The sequence below is a fragment of the Homo sapiens genome, chromosome 21, assembly GCF_000001405.40.
Source record: "Homo sapiens chromosome 21, GRCh38.p14 Primary Assembly".
NCBI lineage: Eukaryota > Metazoa > Chordata > Mammalia > Primates > Hominidae > Homo > Homo sapiens.
Window position 1 is genome coordinate 42,418,228 of NC_000021.9, and position 24,151 is coordinate 42,442,378.

The 24,151-nt window shown below is 47.7% G+C and overlaps 1 protein-coding gene across 15 annotated transcripts in view, besides 5 other annotated features; it reads left to right on the plus strand.

The window, feature by feature from the left end:
* The window catches only part of UBASH3A (ubiquitin associated and SH3 domain containing A), a 43,783-nt gene that overhangs the window by 14,326 nt on the left and 5,306 nt on the right, over positions 1-24,151 (plus strand). For 5 of the 15 annotated variants that reach the window (XM_047440831.1, XM_047440833.1, XM_047440834.1 and 2 more), the window contains 5 exons: positions 174-382; positions 8,470-8,593; positions 13,876-13,975; positions 16,605-16,756; positions 19,261-19,369. In XM_047440831.1, the coding sequence (XP_047296787.1) occupies positions 174-382; positions 8,470-8,593; positions 13,876-13,975; positions 16,605-16,756; positions 19,261-19,369 (694 nt within the window). Of the gene's footprint in view, positions 1-173; positions 383-8,469; positions 8,594-13,875; positions 13,976-16,604; positions 17,283-19,260; positions 19,370-19,627; positions 22,641-24,151 lie in introns of those variants that run through there. The other 10 variants (NM_018961.4, XM_047440832.1, NM_001001895.3 and 7 more) reach the window with 6 other exon arrangements.
* Positions 4,950-5,219: an enhancer, noted in NCBI's record as "active region_18516". NCBI's record gives its function as "activates an Ori minimal core promoter by ATAC-STARR-seq in GM12878 lymphoblastoid cells {active_cell/tissue: GM12878}" and the evidence as "EXISTENCE:reporter gene assay evidence [ECO:0000049][PMID:35858748]".
* Positions 19,561-20,248: an enhancer, noted in NCBI's record as "H3K4me1 hESC enhancer chr21:43857898-43858585 (GRCh37/hg19 assembly coordinates)". NCBI's record gives its function as "activates a minimal SCP1, AML or CMV promoter by ChIP-STARR-seq in naive H9 embryonic stem cells {active_cell/tissue: H9 hESC(naive)}" and the evidence as "EXISTENCE:reporter gene assay evidence [ECO:0000049][PMID:30033119]".
* Positions 20,249-20,935: an enhancer, noted in NCBI's record as "H3K4me1 hESC enhancer chr21:43858586-43859272 (GRCh37/hg19 assembly coordinates)". NCBI's record gives its function as "activates a minimal SCP1, AML or CMV promoter by ChIP-STARR-seq in naive H9 embryonic stem cells {active_cell/tissue: H9 hESC(naive)}" and the evidence as "EXISTENCE:reporter gene assay evidence [ECO:0000049][PMID:30033119]".
* Positions 21,711-21,900: a silencer, noted in NCBI's record as "silent region_13343". NCBI's record gives its function as "represses an Ori minimal core promoter by ATAC-STARR-seq in GM12878 lymphoblastoid cells {active_cell/tissue: GM12878}" and the evidence as "EXISTENCE:reporter gene assay evidence [ECO:0000049][PMID:35858748]".
* Positions 22,211-22,420: an enhancer, noted in NCBI's record as "active region_18517". NCBI's record gives its function as "activates an Ori minimal core promoter by ATAC-STARR-seq in GM12878 lymphoblastoid cells {active_cell/tissue: GM12878}" and the evidence as "EXISTENCE:reporter gene assay evidence [ECO:0000049][PMID:35858748]".

A 24,151-nucleotide genomic window follows, 5' to 3' on the forward strand; every position in this document is an offset into this window, starting at 1 on the left:
CATTACATTCTGTGCTATATATTGCCAGACAAAGCTTTGGATGGAGTCTTGGAGACACAGAACACATTGGAGGGGCAGAAAGCAGGAGGTGGCAGGTGATAGGCCTCCTATTGCTGCCATTTTCCAATGTAAATCTTTGCTCGAGACGTGAAACCCCTTTGCCTCTTTTCTAGACCCTGAGAGCCCTATTCCAGTACAAACCCCAGAACGTGGATGAGCTGACGCTAAGTCCTGGTGACTACATCTTTGTGGACCCCACGCAGCAGGACGAAGCCAGCGAGGGCTGGGTGATTGGGATCTCACAGCGGACGGGCTGCCGGGGCTTCCTGCCGGAAAACTACACGGATCGAGCCAGTGAGTCTGACACGTGGGTGAAGCACAGGTGAGTGCTGCCTCTGGCTGCAGCCCCGTCATCTCTCTCTGAGTTACTGTGTGAGAGTGCCCACCTGCCAACAGTGTGCTTCTAGACCATTCCATTATTGGTAAAATTGCATTCTGTATGCTGACAAAATTATTCCTGCAGGTATATAGTAAACATCTTGGTTCGTCCCTGGTTTTCTGATGATAACATTCAAAAAAGAATGAATTACTCTGCATTAGAGTAATTTGAGATGGTAATCCCCAAATTACTGCAAAATACTACTTCTTTATCACACACATAATAAATTATACTCAGAGGTCCTGAGCTTGGGTTTATTTATTCTTCTGCTCCGTGTATGAAATGTAAAGTCCTAGGTCGTATTATTAGTTTTCTATGACTGTATAATAAATTACCACTAAAACAAAGTGCAATTATTATCTTATGGTATTTATGGGTTGAGAGTCAGAGTCCAGCTTCACTGGGTCCTCAGCTCGGGGTCTCAAGGCTGTAATCAAGGTGCCTGCCAGGGCTGGGCTCCCCACTGAGGCTTCACACCCTCGCCTGAGCATACACAGTTGTTGGTGGGAGTGATTTCCTTGAAGCTGTAGGGCTCCTGGTGAGTTGCTTCTTCATCAGCTGAAGAATCTCTTAATTTTAGCACCTTTTAGCATCATCTGGTGAGGCTAAGGATTTTCAGAATCATCAGATACTGGTTCTTTTTTGTTCGATGTTCTTCCCTCAATTTATCTCTTTCCTCTCCCGCTTCACTATAAATAACATGAAGAAACCAGGTGATACACTTAACACTTTGTTTGGAAATAGCCTTAGCTATGTGACCAACATCATCGCTTACAAGTCCTGCTCTCCATGGACAATTTCATTAAACTCTCTGGCACACATGGGAAGGATCCTCCTTGCTCCGATTTCCTGGAACACCTGTCACATTCCTTTCTGAGTTCTCCCCGGAGGATTCACCTTTAGCATCCCTATTTCCTCTAGCAGTCTGTTCATGGTGATTTGGGCTTTCTCTGCTGTGCTACTCAAAAGTCTCTTAGCCTCTACTCGCTGCCAAGTCCCAAAGTTGTTTCCACATTTTAAGTTCAGAAGGTTTCCAACTTACAATGGTTTGGCTTAGGATTTCATAATGTTACGAAAGTGATATGGGTTCAATAGAAACTGTACTTCAAGTGCCCATACAATCATTCTGTGCTACATTTTCAGTACAACATTCAACGAATTACATGAGATACTCAACACTTGATTATAAAATCGGCTTTGTGTTAGATTATTCCGCCCTATCATAGGCTACTGTAAGTGTTCTGAGCGTGTTTAAGGTAAGCTAGGCCAAGCTGTGATGTTCAGTAGGTTAGGTGCATTAAATGCATTTTCAATTTATGATGGGTTTGTTGGAACATAACCCCATCTGAAGTTGAAGAACATCCACTGTTTGTTAGAGTAGCACCCCATTCCTGATACCAAATTTAGTAAAAGTTTAACCAGAGATGCAGAACCAGTCACTTTCATACAATATATAATACATATAAGTATATGTACAGTTGTCCCTTGCTATCTGCAAGGGATTGGTTCCCGGACCCCCACAGATACCCAAATCCTCATGTTCTCGAGTCCCCGATATAAAATGCTGTAGTATTTACATGCAACTTATGCACATCACCCTGTATCCTTTAAATCATCTCTAGATTACTTGTGATATGTAATACAGTATAAATACTATGCAAATAGTTGTTATACGGTATTGTTTTTTATTTGTATTTTTTAAATTGTATTGCTATTTTTTAATTGATTAATCTTTTGAATATTTTTGGCCTGCAGTTGGTTGAATCCACAAATGCAGAACCTCCAGATACAAAGGGCTGACTATACATACATAGTATTTTATATTATATACACATGTATCACACACATATATATATGGAAAGGTATATATGTATACACACATCTATATTGATTTACTACAATGAATTGCCTTATGGAATTACTGGGGCTAGCTAAGCAAGGGCAGACAGGCAGGAAGGGAGGAGCCTACTTAGGCTGAAAACCCATGGGCAAGCTGAAGCTTGTTGTCCACATGTGGCAGTTGGAAGGACCACCCGGGTGATGGGAGAGCAGTCACAGACACAGCTGCTATTGAAGTCTCTGAGTGTGAGGAAAGCCTAAGTTTTTAAAAAAAAATGCCTTCCAACTGCATAAGTCAGACCTGCTCAGAATAACCTTGCTTTTGATTAATTTAAGCTCAACTGATTAGGGGTTCTAGTCACATTTGTAAAATCTCCTTCCAGCAGCACCTAGACTAGCATTTGATGGGATAGCTAGGAAGGCTGTGTGTGATGCTTAGGATGGCTACTGCCTCCCTTCCATCCTCCAGCTCTCATGAGAATGCCTCTTGTAGCCCACCCTGATCAGACATGTGCTAAAAAGGAAGTCTAGGAACTGTCGTTCAGTCTGGCCAAGTTGCCACACCATAAAGCCATTGCAAAGTGTTAAGGTGGCTCTTGTGAGCTTTTTCACTCTCTTCTCCCAGGTTCCAGTTAGGAGAGTGGAGAGAGCAGGCAGAGGTCAGAGTACACATGGTGAAAAAAGAGAAAAGCTGCTCAGCCTCATGGGTGTGCCTGTTGGGGTGGAGCTCTTGCAGGTGTCAAGACTGATGGTTGGAACAACTGAATGATGAGAGTGGGAGGAGAAGGGCAGAAATACACAGAAAAACCCTATGTTGTGGTTCTGGGCTTCCTGGCACCTTCAGAGCTGTGTGGCTGGGGAAGAGAGCCTGGAAAAACACCATCGTGGCCATCCCTCTGTCTCCAGGCAGGAGGTCTTAAAACCATTTTATATTTCACTCATTTGTTTAATTCTCTCCTAAAATGCTCCACAGCTTCTCTAGGGTTCCCCTCACCACCCTGACAAATAAATAAATCATTAAGTTGAACACAGATGTATCAGCATCTACTCAATCTATAGATTTTCAGATCTGTGCTGGACATTTGCTGTGGACTTCTATTTCCAGCATCTATACATCCAGGGAATTATTTTCTGTACCCTTCCTAATGAGATTCATGCACATGGCAAAACTATGAAAATTGTGACGTTTTATTTGAGTAGTCATTAAAAGCTGCTTAAAAATTGTCAGAGGCTATATGGATAAGCCTCTGTGTGGATAAGACTAGCATTTTAAGTAAATTAAGAAAGAACGTATTTTGAAGAGCTGAAATAAATGATTGCATATTGGTCATTTTTATCCAAACCCCCAAAAAAGAAAAGAAAAGATGGTTTAATAGTACCTGATAGAAGCTCTTGGTGAAATGATTAGAATTTGCAAGAAATAGTAGTAAAAATAATGGAAGTATTGTCTGAAATATTTATAAAAGGAGATTTGGTGACTATGGCTGATTTCTTTAAGTATTATATTTCTTTTTGCTAATTATTCATACACTGAGATTTGTATAACAAGCCAGGGACAGTACCTATGTCCCTGGGCTCCCCCACTAAACATAATAGCCACTTGACATTCAAGGAGAGCAGATTCCAGCCAAAGCCCCACAGCTGTGCATACATGACATTCCATATCATCTTCTCTTGAGGCCATTTAACTTCTTACCCTAATGAATAAGAACTTAGGACCACAAAATGCAAATGTGGGATGAAAAATGCAGCCGTAGTCACACGTCTTTATTTATTGATGTGTTGACTCCTAATCCACTTAAATCTATTTTAAGGCAGCTTAAGAGATGTCCAATAGCTTTGCACACTAACATCACCCCCTGTGCCTGGCTCTGTGCCATGCATTTCCCTTACTAACTGATTTACTTCTCCAATACCCCCTGGATAGGCACTTTTATTGATCCATTTTATAGTTGATGAAACTGAGACACAAAGAGATCAACTCACTTGCCTGTGTTCACACAGCAAGTGAGCAGAGGAAGCCGGATTCCAGTCTTATACCTAATCCCACGCTTGGGCTTTCAACTATGACCTCAACTGCCTATAGAAGAGATCATTAAAATTTAAAAATAAGTCCATAAATTAAATTATGACACATCCATACAATAAAATATTTGCAGCTTTAAAATAATTAAAAGGGAGAATTTTATATATTGATTTGAAAAAATATGCAAGATTTATTGATAAATGAAAAAAATAAGTTGCAGAACGATGTGTATGGCATGATATACTTGTGGGGGAAGGGGAGAGAAACACATAACTGTCTGTAAATACATGTGCACAATATGTATTTCTATACATGTGTATGCCTAAAGGTTCCCTGGAAGGGAGAGTGTCTAGAAACTTCTAACCATGGTTACCGGTGGGTGTTGGGAGTGGGAGCCAGGAGAATGGAACAGAAATGGGAGGGAGTCTTTTCAAACACGACCATTTCATAATGTTTAAATGTATGAAGCATATAAATGCATTACTTACTCAAAACATAAATTAATCCATTTTAAATTTCAAGAAGAGAATGTAAGAAAGCTGGGTCAAAGGGAGAGTAAAGGTGGAAAAGCTAGACAAAGCCAGGGCTGAGGTTTGTCCATACCATGGCGTGCGCTGTGAGCTCCCAGCTCCGAGCTTTCCCACATCCAGTGAGAAAACAGACACACATTCAACCAACAGTCATGGCCATCCCAGATGCGTGCAGACCAGCGGTTCAGGAGAAACACAATTTGCTGACATAGACATGTCCGTGGGTCCAGGGGCCACATCAAAATCACAGGATGTGGGTGCCACAAGGGATTGTAGAGATAACCGAAGGCAGCTCCCCTGCTTGAGAGGTGAGAAGACTCGGGCCCAGGAGGCCAGGTGACGTTGTACAATCAAGGAAGCTCTTGCTTTCTTGCAAGCTCAGTTCACCACCTGATCCAATCAACAGTTTAAGGAATAGAGAGGAGATGCTGGCTATGCCCTAACTAACCATCTCAATTTCAGGAGGGTTGGGGCTCCCCTGTGGCCCCGCATCATTTAGCATGTCCTTCGCTCTCTGCCCGGGATGGGAGAGTTTCACAGTCACAGAGGAACCACAAAGACTCTGCAGAAGATGAGTCAGCGGCTATGATACTTTTCACTTCACAATTAATACATCAGACACCTGCCATCAACATAACCATTCCAGCTTTTATGCCTGACATTTCTGGGACTATTCTTTCCAGAGGAACTTTCTCTTGAGAATTAATCAGTATTAACAAAAATTGCAATGAAAGGAAAGAGAAATAAGCACTGGGCTAGGTGCTGTGGGTTGTCTGATTGGTCCTGCTTTGGAAGCACCCTCATTGTGGCTGGGGGAGCATCAAGACACCCTGACAAGCTGTGATCTGTGCTTATGGGCCAGTGAGGCAGATGACGGGAGCTGTTGGACTCCACTGTGCTGGCTAAATCTTTTCAAACTGCTGAAAATCCTTATTAAACATCTAAAGCTTTCAAAATCGGAAAATGATCCTTGAATGTCTCCACACATCACTGACATATTCATTAGTGGAAAATGGGGTCAGACAGCAATGTCCAGAGGCCAGCTGACCCACGGACTGACAGATAGCTGTGCAGATGTTGAATAATTACTTCCTACGAGCCCTGGTCAGGACTCACACTTGCACGATCCAAGCAGCAGAACCACTGGCATTAGAGTGCCTGGAAACAGACCTGCAGGCGCACCAGGAGGAATCCCCCTGCCCGCCACAGAGGGCACCTTTCCAGGTAAGAGTCTGCAGCTCTGATGAATAGTACTTGTCAATTAACACACCAGTCACCCATCACCACTATAATGACCCCAGCCTCAGCCTCCGTGCCAGACGGTGCAGGGATTCTTTGGACTTATCTACCGCAAAATCACACTGTAATGTTTGTCCATTGCTTTGAAGATCAGAGATGGCCTGGAGAGACTGGTGATGGAGGACCGTATTCACAAACCACAGCAGCTTCCAATCCTCTGTCCAGGAGAGCAGAGGGGAGCACCCCTGTGGGACAAACAACAGGGGGGCTTGAGTGTGAGGGCTCGGGAGAATAAGTGCCATCCCCCAGTCAAGATGAGGACTTTCCCAACACTGAAGACAGACACAGCAGATTACTTCAAAAACCTCAGAGCAAGTTTACAGCAAATATCTCAGACATAAGAAAGGTACAATTAAGGGCTAAATTGCATTCTGCCAACATTCATATGTGGAGGTCCTGACCCCTAACACCTCAGAATGTGAACTTATTTGGAGACAGGGTCTTTAAAGAGGTGACTAAGTTCAAATGAGGGCATTAGAGTGGGCCCTGATCCAATATGTCTGGTGTCCTTATAAGAAGAAATGAGGACACAGACACACACAGAGGGACAGCCTGTGAGGAAACGAGGAGAAGTACCTGTCTACAAGCCAAGGAGAGAGGCCTCAAGAGAGACCAGCCTCAATGGTGGCTTGACCTCAGACTCGCAGCCTCCAGGACTATGAGGGCATCTGTGGCTGTCGTTGAAGCCGCTCAGCTGTGGGACTTTGTTATGGCCGCCCCAGGAAATGAACACAGGGACGTAGTGATGCAACCCCCAGATGGCAGCTATGTCCTTTTAAGAACCAGGGAGAATTCAAACACATCTGTTTCATGGTGTAAGTTACTGTCAAGAGGCTCTCTTAAGTCAAAGAGAAAAATGGAAATGTGAAAATGCTAAGCTCTTTTCTTTCTCCTTCCGTCACCCATGTTCACAGCATAATCTTGATTGTATTTCATTTGAAAGACTAGCAAAATGCACTCCGTTTCTCTCTGTAAACCTCACAGATGTCATCAGTTGATAGCAAAGCCCTACTGTCTGCAGAGCGAGCCGCAGGGAGGCTGTGGGTGCCCTCGCCTTGCCCTCAGGAAGGGGAAACCAACCAATATTTCCTGTGCTAATGTGGGGCTATGAATTGTGCCTCACTGCTCTGAGCATGTTAATTTGAAGAGGAAACTGTCGATTGTTCCAATGAGACTATCTATATTCTTGGTCTACTTAGGATCAACTCAAGTGTGCATTTCCTATCTAATGGCATCTGACAGCTTGAGAAGATGCAAAGTAAATTGGCCTGGACCTGCCATAGTTTATAGATGGAGACAGGGCAGGTAATAGTGTGAGAAGATCATGTGTAACGCAGATGCTGAGATGCAGAAGAAAAGATGCCCTTCCTGGCTCTGGACGGGTCTCGGTGGAGGAGTGGGAGCTACTGCTGGTTTTATGAGAATGTGGGGACTTGAGACCTCTATGGGAGAAATGCAAACATTTGCAAATGGGCTGGATAAATAGAAACATGCCCTGTGCATGGCTGAGAACAGTAAACTGTGGTGGTGTGTCAGTTCCTCCCAGAGTGGATCAAAGGGGATGGTGTATTAGTCAGGGTTCCCCACAGACAGAGACAGAGACAAAGACAGAGAGACAGAGAGTGACCGAGAGAGAAAGAGAGAGAGAGATCTAGTTGAAGGAATTGGTTCAAGACTGTGAGCCTGGCAAGTGCACAATTTGCAGGGCAGGCTGGCAGATGGGAGACCCTGGGAAGAGTTGAGGTTACAGCTCAAGTCCAAAGGTGGTCTGGAGGCAGGATTTCCCCTTCCTCATGGGACCCCAGTTCGTTTCCTCTTAAGGCCTTCAACTGGTTGGATGAGACCCACTCACAGTGATGTGTCGAGACATTCAAGGACCATTTTCTGATTTAAAAAGCTTTAAATGTTTTTAATAAGGACTTTCAGCTATTTAAAAAGATTGAGCCAGCACCATGGAGTCCAACAGCCCCATCATCTGAAGGGTGGTCTCTGCTTTACTCAGCCTAGTGACTTAAATGTTAATCTCATTCTAAAAAAATACCTTCACAGTGACATCTAAAATAACATTTGACCCAATACCTGGGTACTGTGGCCTAGCCACGTTGACATGTAAAATTACCCATCATAGACGGTGATCATTGTAATAAAACAAACACATCATCCACACTTCCTGAGTCCTGAGCACTTTGCACACGCTACTTCATTTTGTGCTCATGGGAACCTTTCTGCTGAGGTTGTCCCGGACATTCTCAAGTACATACATGACCAGATGCTGGGTCTCCATGGCAACAACATGGTCTCACTTCTGTTCAAGCCGTGCTTTCCTTCCCCTGCAGGATGTACACCTTCAGTCTAGCCACAGACCTGAACTCCAGAAAGGATGGTGAAGCCAGCAGCAGATGCAGCGGGGAATTTCTTCCACAAACGGCAAGGAGTCTTAGCAGCTTACAGGCCTTGCAGGTAATAGAACATTCCCTTTTTTCTTTTAAGTAAACTAAGCAAAACTACACTTTGTATTAACTTCACGGTGGACACAGCTTCGTAGGTGTAGCTTTTGTTCCATAGACACATCCTCCCTGCCCTAGAGCGTGGTCAGCAAGGGGGCCTCCCAGGTCTGAGGGTGCCGGGGGTCCTGCCCTGGTCTGTCTGCTCTGGGCAGACAGGGAGCCACCCCTTCATGGCAGAGTGCCCCACCTTGAGCTCCTCAAGGCAGCTGAATCCCGAGTTCTCATCCCATTCCCTCATTCATGAGCCAAGAGGTCCCCAAGACGTCACCTGCCCCGGTGCCTTGGCCCCTCATCTTTTGAGGCAAAACTCTCCATAACCTGGGGGTCAGCAGACTCAGGCCAGGGTCCAGGGCACAGCAGGGCACCCCGAGCTGGCCACCCTCATGGGGCACATCCAGGAGTGCAGGCTGCCAGGCAGGGACACCAAGGAGCAGGCAGCCCCTCCCTGAACGCAAACAAGTGACATCACATCCCTGATCCCTGTCCTGTGATCTGAAGCTTCACACTCCTTACAGAGGAGCCCTCAGGAAGGGGCTGTACCTGCTGCTGGCCTTTGTCTGGTTGCCACAGTAGTGAAAATGCCTCTCTGTCCTTGTTCTTCCCAAATTCGTCCGCCTGTGCCCTGCCATGTGCCGCACACGTTACTTTAGGATCTCTCATCCTTGCTATCCCCAATCGACACAGGAGGCGCTATTCCTGCCCCCTACCCATTTTACAGATCTGAAAACTGGGGCTCATGGAGGCTAGGAAGCTTGTCGGAGAGCACACAGACTCCTAACCACCCTCCCATCAGATTGTTGGAAGGATTATGTGAGATGGGCCATCCAGTGCCCACCACGGCCAGGCCCCTGGTGCGGAGAAACTATTGTGCCCAGAGGGTGGGGTCACAGTAGCCAGGCTTATTCCCTAGTCCCCAGGGCCCATCCTGGTGCCTGGTCCATAAATCTCCAGAACAACCAAAGGAAGGCTCTGCCGGGACTTGTCAGTGGCTCACCCTAAGGTCAACGCTCACCCTCTGTTACGGATTGAATTGTGTGCCTCCAAAATTCCTATCTCGAAGTCCTAACCCCCAGTCTCACTGAATGTGATTGTATTTGTAGACAAGGCCTTTAAAGAGGTATTTAAGGTTAAATGAGGCAACACAGGTGATGCAATCTGATCCAATCTGACTGCTGCCCTTATAAGAAGAGGGGATGAGGAAACAGACACACAAGAGGGATGGCCCTGTGAGGACACAGGGAGGGGACACCACCGGCAAGCCCCAGAGAGAGGCCTCAAAAGGAACCAGCCCTGGCAACACCATCATCTCTGACCTCCAGCCTCCAGGACTGTGGGAGAGTAAACTTCTGCTGTGGAAGCTAAACAGTCAACCCACACGCAGCGTCCCTGTCGCCATTTGCACCTCCTGGCAGCTGGTGCAAATCAGCCCAAAGCTAAGTGGCCTTGGCAGGTCTTTGCAGCCTTGGTGGCTAGGTGAGGAGGCCTTTTCTTGAGAAATCAAGAATGTGTCTCTGAAGCTGGGTCCATGAGAAATGGCGATCAGCGTTCACCATGTGAGAAAGGCCCAGACTTGGGAGAGCCGAGACTCCCCAGGGCTGTGGCCTGGGGATTATTTAAAAAGCTTTAAATGTTTTTAATAAGGACTTTCAGCTATTTAAAAAGATTGAGCTAGTACCATGGATTCCAACAACCCTATCATCTGGAGTAAAACAGAGACCATTCTGTTTTACTCAGCCTAGTGACTTAAATGTTAATCTCATTTTTAAAAAATACCTTCACAGTGACATCTAAAATAACATTTGACCCAATACCTGGGTACTGTGGAGAAGTACCCAGGTATTGGGTAGGGGGAGAGCCTGGAATGGAAGTCTCTGCTCGTAGCTCAGCCTGTGTCTAAACCGTGCTTTCAATGGCTGAAAACAGAACATGCATCTGCCTGTGAACTGGCCCCCCTCACACGGTCTTCTCTATAGGGATTTCACCCCTTCCCTACAGTAAGAAAAGACAACTGGCCACAGGTCTGGTAGAATCATGGCCCCAGAGATGATGCCCTAATCCCGGGAACTTGTGCATGTGACCTTATTAGGAAAGAGAGTTTCTGCAGATGGGATTGAGTGGAGGGTCTTGAAATGAGGAAATGATCCTGGGTCATCCAGGAGGGCCCTAAACCCCATCACAAGTGTGCTGATGAGAGAAAAGCAGAGGGGATCTGATACAGCAGCAGAGGAGGCCATGCAGCCAGAGAGGCAGAGACTGGAGCAATGTGGCCACAAGCCAAGGAACACCTGGGGCCACCAGGAGCTGGAAGAAGCAAAGAATAAATTCTCCCCTAGAATGTCAGAGGGAGCATGGCCCTGCCAACACCTTGACTTTGGACTTCCAGCCTCCAGAGCTGTGAGAGAATAAATGTCTCTTGCTTGGCACCGCCCAGCCTGTTATGGCAGCCCCAGGACACCAATGCAGCACCTTCTGTCTAGAGAATTGGTGCAGCCCTGCCTCATTCCATAGATCCCAGGGGTCAGTCCATTCCACTCCCCACAGGGCTTTCTTTTGCTTTATCATCATATTCCTGTGGCAAAGCTCCACAGAAGAACATTTAAAATGCTCTGAGCTCTTCCAGGAAGAAAATACCCCAAATCCAAAACTTCAGCCCGCAAGTTGAAAACTTCAGGGACTTTGTTACTAGGCAGAATGAGTTTCCAAGAGCATGCATGCTTTGCAATCTACTTGCAGATCAGCTCTCTACAGCTCTCTAGGATGTTTTAATATTCATTCTGGGATAGGGGCGGTGGGTGCTGCCTCTTGGTGTCAGTGTAGGCAACCTCTGCATAACCACACTTCACATGCAAGAGAGCAAGACAGCAAGACAAACCTTCCCCTGAAGCTGTTCCCCAGGAGATGCATGTTTCTATCCTGAAACAAACAACTGAAGTTTTCCAATAAGGGAAAGCAATACTATTCACTTGGCCTTACCGTATATCCGTTTTGAAGACTCAGCCCAGTGACCCTAAGAAAGTGTTTGCATGGTGACTGCAAACGTTCTCACTGGCTCACCAATCCCATAGTTTATGCACCTACCAAATGTAGCCAGGGCCACCGAGAACTGTCTGGTCCTGATAAATTTCAGCAGCTGGAAATTCTGCATCGTCCGGGCCAGCGTGGACTTCACAAGGGATCCACAGGATCTGGCAGGAGCTGCCCGTGGTGCTGACCCCGAGAATGCTTTCAAGGCAGGTGAAATTGGCCCCCACCCTACTTTCTGGTGTCCCTTCCTTCCCAGTAGTTTCCAATCACTTCCCTAGGTACAGGGACACCACGGGGGACCACTCTTGCCAGAGCGAGTGGCCAGTTAGTGCAGACCCTTGAGACTGGATCACTGTTCACAGAAGAAAGTCCAGACAGGAATGATCAGCTGCACTGGCCAGGTGGAAAATGAGTCCCTTCCTCCCTGAGGGTGTTTGGATGTTAAAGCCATTTGCATTTTCCTCTCTAGGATTTGGAGGGAATCAGGGCGATGCTGGGGCTGGTGTATGAGGGTTTATGCAGACAAGGCTTACCTCTCCTCACCTCTCTTCCTTACCCTGCTCAGTAGGAAAACACACACAAGAGCTGCCCTCTCATTTTAGCCCAGAGAGAGCTGTGTGGCCAAGAGGGAGCAGGGCAGGGATAGTGCCTGTCTGAGCTGCCTCCTGCCCAGGGGTCCTCCCTACCCCGTCCATCCCTGGTCGCCTGGGCTCCAGGCAGGATTTGGTCCCCAGAAGGCCCCACAGCCCACCTCCCGTGGCAGGCCGTGTTCGCTCTGCCCCCACCATCTCTGTTAATGACTCATCTTTCCATGTTCATCCCTTGGCCCAGGGAGACCTGCAGCTCCCTAAAGCAGGGATGCTGTGGACTGCAGCTTCATGGACCAGCATGTGACATGCTCCCCCCTGCGGTGCCATGTCACAGGGAGGTTGAGGCATGAGTCCTGGGTGCCAGAGGGCAGCACCACTGGGCCTGTGTTGCTGCAGGGTTCCCCACCTCTTGCTCTGAAATGGACCCCCCTGGATAGCCTGGGCCTGGCTCTGGGGCTGGGAATGTAGGTGAAGGGCCGATGTCAGCTGGCACATTAGTGCCCTCCAGGGAAGCAGCCGAGCCTGGTGTCTCCCTCCAGGGTCCTGGTGCAGGGCTTATGCTCCACGCAGCTGTCCTGGTGGCCTCTAGCTGGCTCGGCCCCTAGCACTCTGCTCTCTGGTCCCAGGGGGGGCATCCTCAGCTCTCATTCACTCTCTTCATCTCATTTGCTGTGGGTTCCTCTCAAGGCCAGTCCCTCAACTTGATCAGCCCTGCACAGCATGGGGAGAAGGGTGGCCTAGCCCCTGAGGACAGAGCCCCCCACAACACCATCCCACACAGTGGAGGCCCCTCCCAAAGGGTAGCCAGCCTCGCTGCCCCAAGCATGACCTTTGGGCTACTTCCCCAAAGCACAGGCTCCCCAGAAAGAGGGCGGGCGTGAGCCCTGTAACTGCAAGGCTCCAAGGCCATCCTGCGGCTGCCTGAGGCTGGGGAGGAAGGTGCCAGAGAGCTGCTGTCCCTGGCTCGAAGCTGCTGGCCACCGCCAAGGCCAGTCTCATGCCGAGAAGAAGTAAATAAACTATAAAGTACTGTTTTCCTTTAGCATTCAGCCAAACAGAGAATGACCAGCTATGGGAAAACAGCAAGGGGATGGATGAGGGCTTCTCCCCTTGGTGCTCAGAAGCAGAATTCATACCTGGGAGCCATAAAAGGACGGCCCCTCAACAGGTCAACACCAGGGCAGTCCTGGAGGGTTTCTCAGAAGAAGTGTGCCAGCAAGAGAGGAGACTAGATATATAGATAGGTAATCTATACTATAACAATACATATTATAATATAGATAGGGATAATGTCCTAAGACGTCTCTATGGGAATGATAAGGACTTAGAAAAGACAGAAAAGTAGAAAAACGGATGTGTCATGATAGGGGCCAATCCTGTCTCTTTTCATTTTCTTGATGTTAGAATGCCCAGAAAATAAAACATTGGAAGAAATTGAAGAGATTGTCAATTTCATGTCCTCTTTCATTCTAATGATTTGGGCAAAATGGGCTGAGCTATTGACTAACGAAGGAAAAGATTCCCTCGCAGTTGCTGGGTGACTGGGAGAGCTGCCATTGGTGCAAGTCCAGTGAGTTGGATGTTAAACTGCATGTGCCTTGCTTCCTGCCCCACCCCCCAGGCTACCGTTGCAAGGAAGAGCGTGCTGGTGGTTCGCCACGGGGAGAGAGTGGATCAGATCTTCGGGAAGGCATGGCTGCAGCAATGCTCCACTCCTGATGGTAGGTCACACTCAGGCGGGTCTACGGACAGAAACACTGTAGATCTAACCAATGAGATCTCCTTCTTAATGACCTTACATGGCACCAGATCCCCTGAGGCACCATTCTGTAGAATGACCATGTGTAGACTGTATGTGTGGAAAACGTGCCTGCTACATCTTCCTCCAGGGGTGTTCCATGTATGCATTTGAGTGTCTGTGTTGGAACCTCTCCAACCTAATCTTAACTGATGTAATTTTTGGCTATGCTGCTTAACAGATGGACGTATTCTTGAACATGCCTCTTGCACACCCCAGCTTTTCTCCTCTGAATGCCAGGAAGTAAGAATAGTGCTTATAAATACACATACCCACAAGCCAACCTCTGTATTGATGATCAATGTCCACATCAATGCTAATCTCCTAATAGGAAGCCTGTAGTGTCACAATTTCTAAGCCATGACCCATTACATAAATTAAGGCATTGAATGTAGTGACAAAATCAATTCACAGTTGCTAGGTTAGCCGAACCCTTTTGGGATCCCCCTCCAGAAGCCCAGCAGACCCAAGAAAGTGGTAAATGAGTAGGGAAAACCATTGGCAGATGACAATCACACACCAGAAAAGATTCTGAGCAGATAACATCATGATCAAGCATATTTCCAAGAACTCACAGAGCTAATAATATGGTCACCTCTATAAAACAAGATCAAGTAAAGATACAAGAGCTTAAAGCAACAATAAGACAATAGGTGGCTATCAGGATGCATTAACAAACATATAAGAAACTTTTTTTCAATAAAACAGTTTTTTTAGCTATTGAATTACTGAAGCTATAGATTGAACTGACACACCTTGTCCATGGTGGGGAGAACCAATACAAAACAATCAACACCAAAAATAGTTATTGAACTTCATAGAAAAAGAAAAAATATTTGGTCATCTGGACAAAAGATCAAGTCACTTATAAGGGAAAATATTTTAAAGGCACTGGAAATCCCCATCTGAAAGGAAACTCCTGGTGGATCTTTTCCCAAGGTAGAGAGGCCCTTGATAAAGTGAAGAATTACATCTAGTTTGTCTGAATTTTGTATATTGCAGGGTTTAATAAATCACAAGGAGGTATAGCCACGTCCTCCCCCAAGGTGACCAACCTCAGGGAACACAAGGGAGATTTGGGGGGCTCTACTGGCCTCTCCCCAGCTCAGCTCACTTTTGGCCCAGGCACCCACATCCTCACAGGGCCCCTCACCTCACCCCATATTCCACACAGACTCTGCTCCCATCAGGACCTGACCTTGCCCCACATCCTTGTCCTCTCCTGAGCTCTGCCCTCTGCCCCCAGAGTGATCACAGCTGAAGTGTCAATGACAGCAAAATACCTAAATGGAGTGTCTTGACATTTTAGAGGGGGATCACAGATGCCTTTGAGAACACAATGAAATTGATGGACTTTCTCTCTGATTTTAAAACTGCCTTTCCCAAGAGCTAATGTTGGCATTGAATAAACACCTCTAAAATGCAGTGTTCAAACAAGAGTCTCTGCCCATGGAAATCCCAGGGAGGGAGTCTTCAGAAAACTCCTATATGGAAACTAAAATGCAGGCATGAAAAATTGCCCCCCGCTGACCCCTGCTGCCCCCCACTGCCCCCTGACTCTGGGTTTGTGCAAGGCTGTGGGCCAGGATGAAGGGGCCTGGCATATTCTGGGGTGCAAAGGGCAGGGCCTGCTATGTATGGCAGAGCAGGTCTCAGGAAGGTCAGTGTGGCTGCTGGAACCTCCTAATAACCAGGAGGCTTGGGGTCCCTTTGGAGAATGTGAAGGCAAACCAGAGTGCACTGGAGGGAGCAGTGTGTCGTGGTGTCCTGTGTGAGGATAATCAGTCATCCTGACGTGGTGACATGAGACCAGTGCCCCGACTCGTTGACCACTCCCTCTTGAGTCAGACTCTGGGCTATGGGTGTTACCTCACTGACACCTCGCAATCGCTACTCTTTCCCTGTTTTTTACTGATAAGAGAGATGAAGTCATTTATTTCTGGCTGCACAGTGAGGAGATGGTGATGCCAGGATTTGCTACCAGACTGTCAGATCTTAGAACTCAAGGTCAAACTCCACGTGAACCCTGGCACCGGGCAGCCTCTGGTGGGAGACAGTCCCAGTGAGCCCACTTCCAGCCTGGCTTCAAGCAATTGACTAAAGAATGCACAACACAGGCATCTCCAGCTCAAGCACTCTGTCCCCTGAGCAAGAAGGATACGTTTAAAGCTAGGGGGATGGATCATTGATGCCAACTTCAGATTCTTACCGAGTTACACTAAACTAGTCATAGAGACACTTTATCAGGTTCTTCATCAGGAAAATGTAAGAGTGAATCTTCATGGGGCATTTTGGGAGGACAAAGAGGGTTGCATAGTTCCTGGGGCTGAAACCTAAGTTGTCTGCATTTGAGAAAATGTTGTGTGCACAGCTGAGCAGCACTTTCTTCTCAAATTGAAGCCACGTTGCAGAGAATGTTCAGAAACAACACAGTTGACAATAATTTCAATAATAACATTGCTGTTAGAGTGGGTCTTGGTCTTGGGAGTTTTGTGGAACAAATCTGTACTAACTTGATGAAACTGAACGTCTGATGCTTATTTATACTTCAGGGAAATACTACAGGCCAGACCTGAATTTCCCCTGCAGTCTGCCAAGACGGAGTCGTGGGATCAAAGACTTTGAAAACGATCCCCCATTATCATCGTGTGGCATTTTCCAGTCCAGAATTGCAGGTATGTTTGAGGACTGTCTAGTAGGAAAGGTAACAATAACAGCAACACTGATTATGGCTAGCAGGCATCCAGCCTGAGCCCTAGCTACACACCCTTTGATACAGTGTTAGCTTTGTCTCCAGTCTGCTGAGGAGGCTGGGGCACAGAGAGGTTAAGCAACTTGCCCAAGGTCACACAGCAAGAAAGTGGCAATGTAGAGGTTTGATCTAGGAATGGATGATTCAGGAAGTTGGCAGGAATGAAAGAAAGGCATGGAAAGAACAAGAGAGGGGAGGAAAAATCAACAACCAAGGAGCTCCAAGGAGCTCACTTTTCAAATGGAAAACCACATCCTCTCATTCGTTGGTTTTATTTCAAAATCTGTCACTTTGGGCTTTTGTTTCATGTCTGGCGGTTCTGCTTCTACGTGACTGAGTTTATGTAAACAGAAGAGACCATTGAGTTCATCGAGTCTTCATTTCCTAAATTCAGAAAATGGAATCCAGAGAAGCAAGTTACACCAATGGTTAACTGCAGAGACCCCCACGGCCCACTCGCCCAGGGCCCCACTCAGAGGTGTGCTCAGAAATGTTTACCCACCTGCTCCAGGCAGGGTGGGAAGTCCGAGTTATAGAGTTATAGAGTTAGTTATAGAGTTATAGAGTCATGGAGTTATAGAGTTAGTTATAGAGTTAGAATCATAGAGTTATAGAGTCATAGAGTTATAGAGTTAGAGTTATGGAGTTATAGAGTTATAGAGTTGTTATAGAGTTATAGAATTATAGAGTTAGTTATAGAGTTATAGAGTCATAGATTTATAGAGTTATAGAGTTAGTTATAGAGTTATAGAGTCATAGATTTATAGAGTTATAGAGTTAGTTATAGAGTTATAGAGTCATAGATTTATAGAGTTATAGAGTTAGTTATAGAGTTATAGAGTCATAGAGTTGTAGAGTTATAGAGTTATAGAGTTATGGAGCCATAGAGTTATAGAGTCATAGAGTTATAGAGTTAGTTATAGAGTTATAGAGTCATAGAATTATAGAGTTAGTTATAGAGTTATAGAGTCATAGAGTTATAGAGTTATAGAGTCATAAAATTATAGAGTTAGAGTTACAGAGTCATAGATTTATAGAGTTAATTATAGAGTTAGAGTCATAGAGTTATAGAGTTATAGAGTCATAGTGTTACAGAGTTATAGAGTTAATTATAGAGTTATAGAGCTATAGAGTCATAGAGTTATAGAGTTAGTTATAGAGTTATAGAGCTATAGAGTCATAGAGTTATAGAATTAGAGTTATAGAGTTATAAAGTCATAGAGTCATAGAGTTATAGAGTTAGTTATAGAGCTATAGAGTTAGAGTCATAGAGTTATAGCACTTGCTGAGTGCAGTGGTGAGAATACTGCACTCCCCGACAACTGATTCCAGACTCCCAGTGTGAGCTCCCAGGACACTGAGTCGGGAGGAGATGGTGGTCCCAGGCCTCTGTCCCTGGCTTGCAGGTGACATTTTCTGTCTTCCTCTTCTCTTCTCTGCATGTCTCTGTGCACAGATTTCCCCTTTTAGAAGGGCACTGTCACACTGGATTAGAGCCCACCCTAATTTAATTGATTGAGGTGCATACCCTTATTTTAACTTATCACTCTGTAAAAATCCTGTTTCCAAATGAGTCACATTCTAAGGCACCAAGGGTGAGGACTCTAACATGTTTTTCAAGGGAGGGGATACAGTTCAACCCAGAAGAGCCTCCACTGAAACCTCGCTCATCAGCTTTCAGGCTGTGCAATTTTTGTGCTGTAGGGACTCCCATATTTCCCTGAGAGCAGGGCTTCCAGTATCACAGGGGGAAAGGCAGAGTACAGGCTTTTCCTTCCACGAGCTTCAGTGGGTCTTGAGTTTTCTCAAACGACCACAAATGTGAAGCCCCGCCCATTTCTGAGCTCACAGTGGTGCAGATCCAAAGCCCAGGCCCACGAGGCTGCTTCTCTGCTGAAGGTCTTAAAGCCTGAAGTCAAGGTCTCTGCTGGGCTGAGTTTTCATTGGGAGCTCAAGTCTCCTTCCAGACTCATTCTGCTGTTGGCCAAATTCAGATCCTTGCAGTGGGAGGACTGAGGTCTGTTCCTTGCTGGCTGTTAGCTGGGGGCTGCTCCCAGCCCTAGTAGAGGCTGCCCACATTCCTTGCCATGTGGTCCCCTCCATCTTTGCAGCCAGCAATGGAGAATGTTTTGCTGAATCCTTCTCACTTCACACTTCTCTGACTTTTTTCCATGACTGGCTGGAGATAATCACTGCTTTTAATGGGCTCACCAACTTGTCAGCCCCACCTTGGATCCCTTCCCTTCTGCCATAGGATGTAATTGTCCCAGGAGCAACAGATCATTCTGGTCATGGGTTCCACCCATACTTGGAGGCTGTGCAGGGTGTGTCACACCAGGGGGTGGAAACCCGGGGCCCTTTGAGGACCCTGCCTACCACAGGGAGCACATGGCTCATCTGCCATCAGAGGCTAGAATTATGAAGGGGCATTTTCTGCCTTTTTCACTATTTTCCAGGGGACGCGCTACTGGACAGTGGTATCAGAATCAGCTCTGTGTTTGCCTCCCCAGCCCTCCGCTGTGTGCAGACGGCCAAACTCATCCTGGAAGGTCAGTGAGAACCTCGGTGAGCCTCTCCTACTGCCTTGACCTTGGGGCTATTCTCCAAGGGGAGTGGGAAGGGAGTGGAGGTGGAATTGGATGACTGGCAATGAATGCCCACACCAAAGTCATCAGGCAAGTACGAGCCAGCCCTCCAAGGATGCTGGCAGGCATGCTGGGTCCGTGAGCGTGTCTGGAATACCAGGACCGTCAGACCAGTAGGGGCTGGTGTAGCTAAATGCCAGGGCCTGTCCTCATACCGTTTCTCTTTGGCCTCCGTCAGCTAGGCATTTTTAAAATACACCTGGAAAGCGGCATTCGAAAACCTTGAGAGCTGGGAACTGCTACGGTTCCTTGTAAGTCTGAATTGCATGACCCTTCCCAGGGCAATGCACTGGGCCAGTGGAGCTGTCCAGCGTCCTCAAGGGCTGATGTGTGTCAGGAAGTCCTGGGCAGACCCTTCTGCAGCTCCCATCTACGGGAAGAAGAAAGTTCCTGCCCATAGGAGAGCAGCTTGTTCCAGAGGCCTGGGCTCTGCCTTCAGCCTGAACCCTGTCCTGCTCCTCTTTGTCTGGGAAGAGGGATAAGATCTCGGTCCCCAGGCAGGGACTGGCCGTGGCCAGGAGCATGGGTGACATGCGAGAGAGCATGTCGCCTCCATGGTGACAAGGGAGAGGGCAGAGCACACAGACACAGATGCAGCAGGAGGGCAAATGTGGGGGACAGGGCTTGCCTCGACTTTCTCAGAGACCTAGGAAGTAAGGCCACCAGCGGAAAGTGGGGGCAGGGACTGTGGGAAGTTTGGGGTGCGCCGAAGGAATGAATGGCTGTCAGGCAGAGGGGCCCAGGACATGGGCTGGGAGATGCAGAGTGACCGCTGGGCAGCACTCAGAGCCCACCCACAGTTCATGAGCATGAGTTTAAATGGAGATGCATCAGCCGGGCTAGGGGGTCTCTTCCAGCTTAGACCGGGAGTAGGTGGAGAGTGGGATGCAGGTAAGGGCAGGGTTGAGCTGTGAGTACGGTGGAGCCAGAGGGGACAGGAAGACTTGAGGGCATAGTGAGGGGGTGACCGTGCCCATGGACTTTCAGCTGGGTCAGCGAGGAGGCCGAGCACGGGGGAGGTGAGTGCAGGAGAAAGGAGGTGATCTGAGTGAGGCTCAAGGTCCACGAGGGGGCTGCTTGGAGACAGCAGAGTTTGGCACTGCACCATGGCGGGGCTGCAGTGGCTAGAATGACAAGTCCCAGGTGGAAGGAATGGATGCTCAAGGCAGGGAGGAAGCCACGTCCTGCAGGAGGTGGGCAGGAATGGAGGGGCCATGGAGGAGCCATCCCGCAGATGGTGGTCTTGCTGGGACTTGCACATGGGGCCACATCAGAGCCGGGGCCACGAGGGGCCGGGACCTTCACAGGAGGAGCCGTTGGGACAGCAGTGGATTCAATGCACACATGTGCATTGCCGGTTCCCATGTCCTCAGATCCCCTTCGCCCCGTCAGAGACGCTCCCTCAGAGCACCTTCAAATCCAGGTGCCCAGGAAGCCCCAGCCAGGAGCGGACCTGGTTCCACCCCGGAGCCTCTCAGGCTCATCATTCCTGTCCTGTGCTCTCATGAACTTTCCATCCCATAGTCCAGTCCTAGTTTCACGAGGCACAGAAATCCATTGTATCAGCATGGAGCATCCACGATCCACCTTCCACACACTTAAAAATGTCAAGACACTTTCTGCCCACCTCAGTCTTGCAGCTTCATCCTTTCATTTCCCACCCAACTGTGGCACAGGACCCCACCCCTCTGCACGGCATCTCGGGTCACAAGACAGAAATGCAGACTTACTTCACTTTGCCTTGGAGGTTCCCATGTTGATTGCATCACGGCACCTCTGGGCTCTCAATGAGCCAGATGAAGATCAAAGAACAATATCAGCTTCTTTGACCAAACCACGAAAGGACTCGCGAATCCCCAAAGGCCTGACGGCAGTGTAGCCGGAGGCCAGAGGCAGCTCCACCCGAGGGCAAGCAAGGCTTCCACAATCCTTGTCTCTCCTCACAACGCTGGCATGCACATACACAGCACACACATCCACACACACCACACACACACCACACGCCACACACACACTACACACACCCACACACACACCATGCACACCCACACACCACACACACCCACACACACCACACACACCCACACACACTACACATACACACCACACACCACACACACACCACACACCACACACACCACCTACACCCACACACACCCACACACAACACACAACACACACACCACACACATAACATACAACACGCTGAACACACATACCACACACACACCACACACCTCACACACACCACACACATACACACACCACACACACGACACACACCACACATCCACACACACACCACACCCCACACACACCCACACACCACACACACAACACACACCCACACACACACCACACACACCACATACACCCCTTGGGGTTTCACTTGGGGGCTGAGTCACAGACCGCAGAGGAGGAGGCTGTGATCTTTGAGAGCCATGACCCCAGCCCAGGTGACAGGGTCCCGCGATGTCCGCCTCTCCCTGTTCCCATGCTCACAGCAGCAGGTCCAGCCTTCGTGTTTTCAGGAAGGCCTGAGAAACAGGACGTGGCCTTTCCAGCTCTGCGCTTTGGGAGGGACGAGGGTGGCAAGATCAGAAATGTGAAGGGGCAGGGTCTCCGAGTATCTGGGGACCCTTCAGTGTGAGGGTGGCTCTTAATAACTATGATGGAATAAAGCAAAATTGATATATAGCAATTTCATCCCTGGTTGTTTAGGATCAATGTATTTATAATTAACCAAACACCTATAATCATAAGATGTGAACCAAGCAAGAAATGCACACAAATATATGACAAGAGGGGAACAGGCCTGTGCCTCAGTTTCCCCTCTTCTCCCCTGTCGCTGGTCTTTGCACCCCACCACTCAATGAGCGCATTTTGTTGGAAACCACCTAAGATGCTGCTGTTCTTCCACTAAGTTTCAGAATCACTTTGGTTTCTGCCACTGGCTGGCCGCCCACTAGCAGGCCGTGCGAGAGTCCCCAGGTCGCCTGTGCCTGCCAGGCCAGCAACAACAGTCTCCTCTCACTGGGGCTTTTACTGCCTCAGCCTGCAAGTTTCCCTTCTAGTGAAAACCTTCGTCTTTCTTTCCCTACCCAACCTCTCTCACCACGATAACAACAACGAATAAAAAAGGAATCTCTTGGCCAGCCTTTGTAATAAAAGAATACGACTGACTGAAAACACTTCATAATTTTATCTTTTTTTTGTCATTGTTCGTGGTTCCTCATTAACACACTTATTCCCATTTTTGGTGGATTTTTTTACTTCTATTATTTGGGTCACTTGCATATAAAAAGCTTTCAAAAATGTCTTTTGCCAGCAATAATGTCAAAATCTTTAATGTGATCTCTCAGTGACCTTTAAGTGCAGATGATGATGATGGTGATGATGATGGTGATGATGCCTGTTTAAAGGGCATGGGTTTATAAATCCTCTGTTAATTCAGAAAAACAAGGACACCCAGTCTTCTTTACAAGGCCTCAGACATGATCAACCTGCTTATCAGATGGTGTCTGAGATGCTAAGGTGCTCAACTTTGTTTAAATTCAATGTCAGAGAATGTCCACATGAACCATTTCACAGCCAAGTCCACAAAACACTGGCCTGCAAGAGGTCTTCAAAGGAAAGAGACCCATGGCCACACCTGTCTGGGAAGCTCTCACACTGTTCCTTCATCTTATTTGTTCACAATGGAAATGAGCTCTTCACAGGCTTGGGGGAGATTTCGGGGGCCTGGTTTATCAGGGAGGACTTGGGGGCCCAGTTGATGGGGGAGGACTCGGGGACCTGGTTGATGGAGGAGGACTTGGGGGCCTGGTTGATGAAGGAGGACTCGGGGGCCTGGTTGATGGGGGAGGACTCAGGGGCCTGGTTGATGGAGGAGGACTCGGGGGCCTGGTTGGATGGGGGAGGACTCGGGAGCCTGGTTGATGGGGGAGGACTCGGGGGCCTGGTTGATGGGGGAGGACTTGGAGGTCTGGTTGATGAAGGAGGACTTGGGGGCCTGGTTGATTGGGGAGAACTTGGGGGCCTGATTAACTTGCTTTAACTCTCTTTTCTAAGCATGCTTGATGAAAGAGCTCCTTCCATGGACCTAAAACACATTTGAGGAACTGATTTTATGTCCAGCATTTGAGTTCAATGACATCTTCTCCATTCCCAGTGAAAACATTCAGGTCTTTTTTTCCACTCAAAAAGAGATGGCCTTACTTTATGGCTCTTCCTTTAATCAAAATATAAAATGCCTGGGAAATGTGAGTTGCAGGGAGTCAGAATATTCCAGAAGATGGCTCCTTCCATTCTTCACCTCTTGCCCCGTCTGTGTAAGTGTTTATCAGGAAAGTGCCTCATGAGGCCAACATTCTTCATGATGGGTCACATCTTGTCCATTGATCATTGGATCTGCCATGTTGGAGGATGCAGCCGGTGGGCTGGTTTCACGGTGGAGCTGTGCTGGGTGATCAGGTGAGCCCCAGCCTAAGCCTGCTGCCTGGGACACTCACCAGCTCCTGGAAGACTCTGGCCCTTCCTGGCACACAGGGGGCCATCACTCCTCTGATACCTTCCCACTGCTCGTCAGTTTTGACTTCAGAAATAGCACAGCTATGCCTAATCACAGAACGGTATTTGCCAAGAAGAAAATCACACTGTTTAAAAGGCATGATTTAGACGTGTGTGTGACGGTCTGAGATCT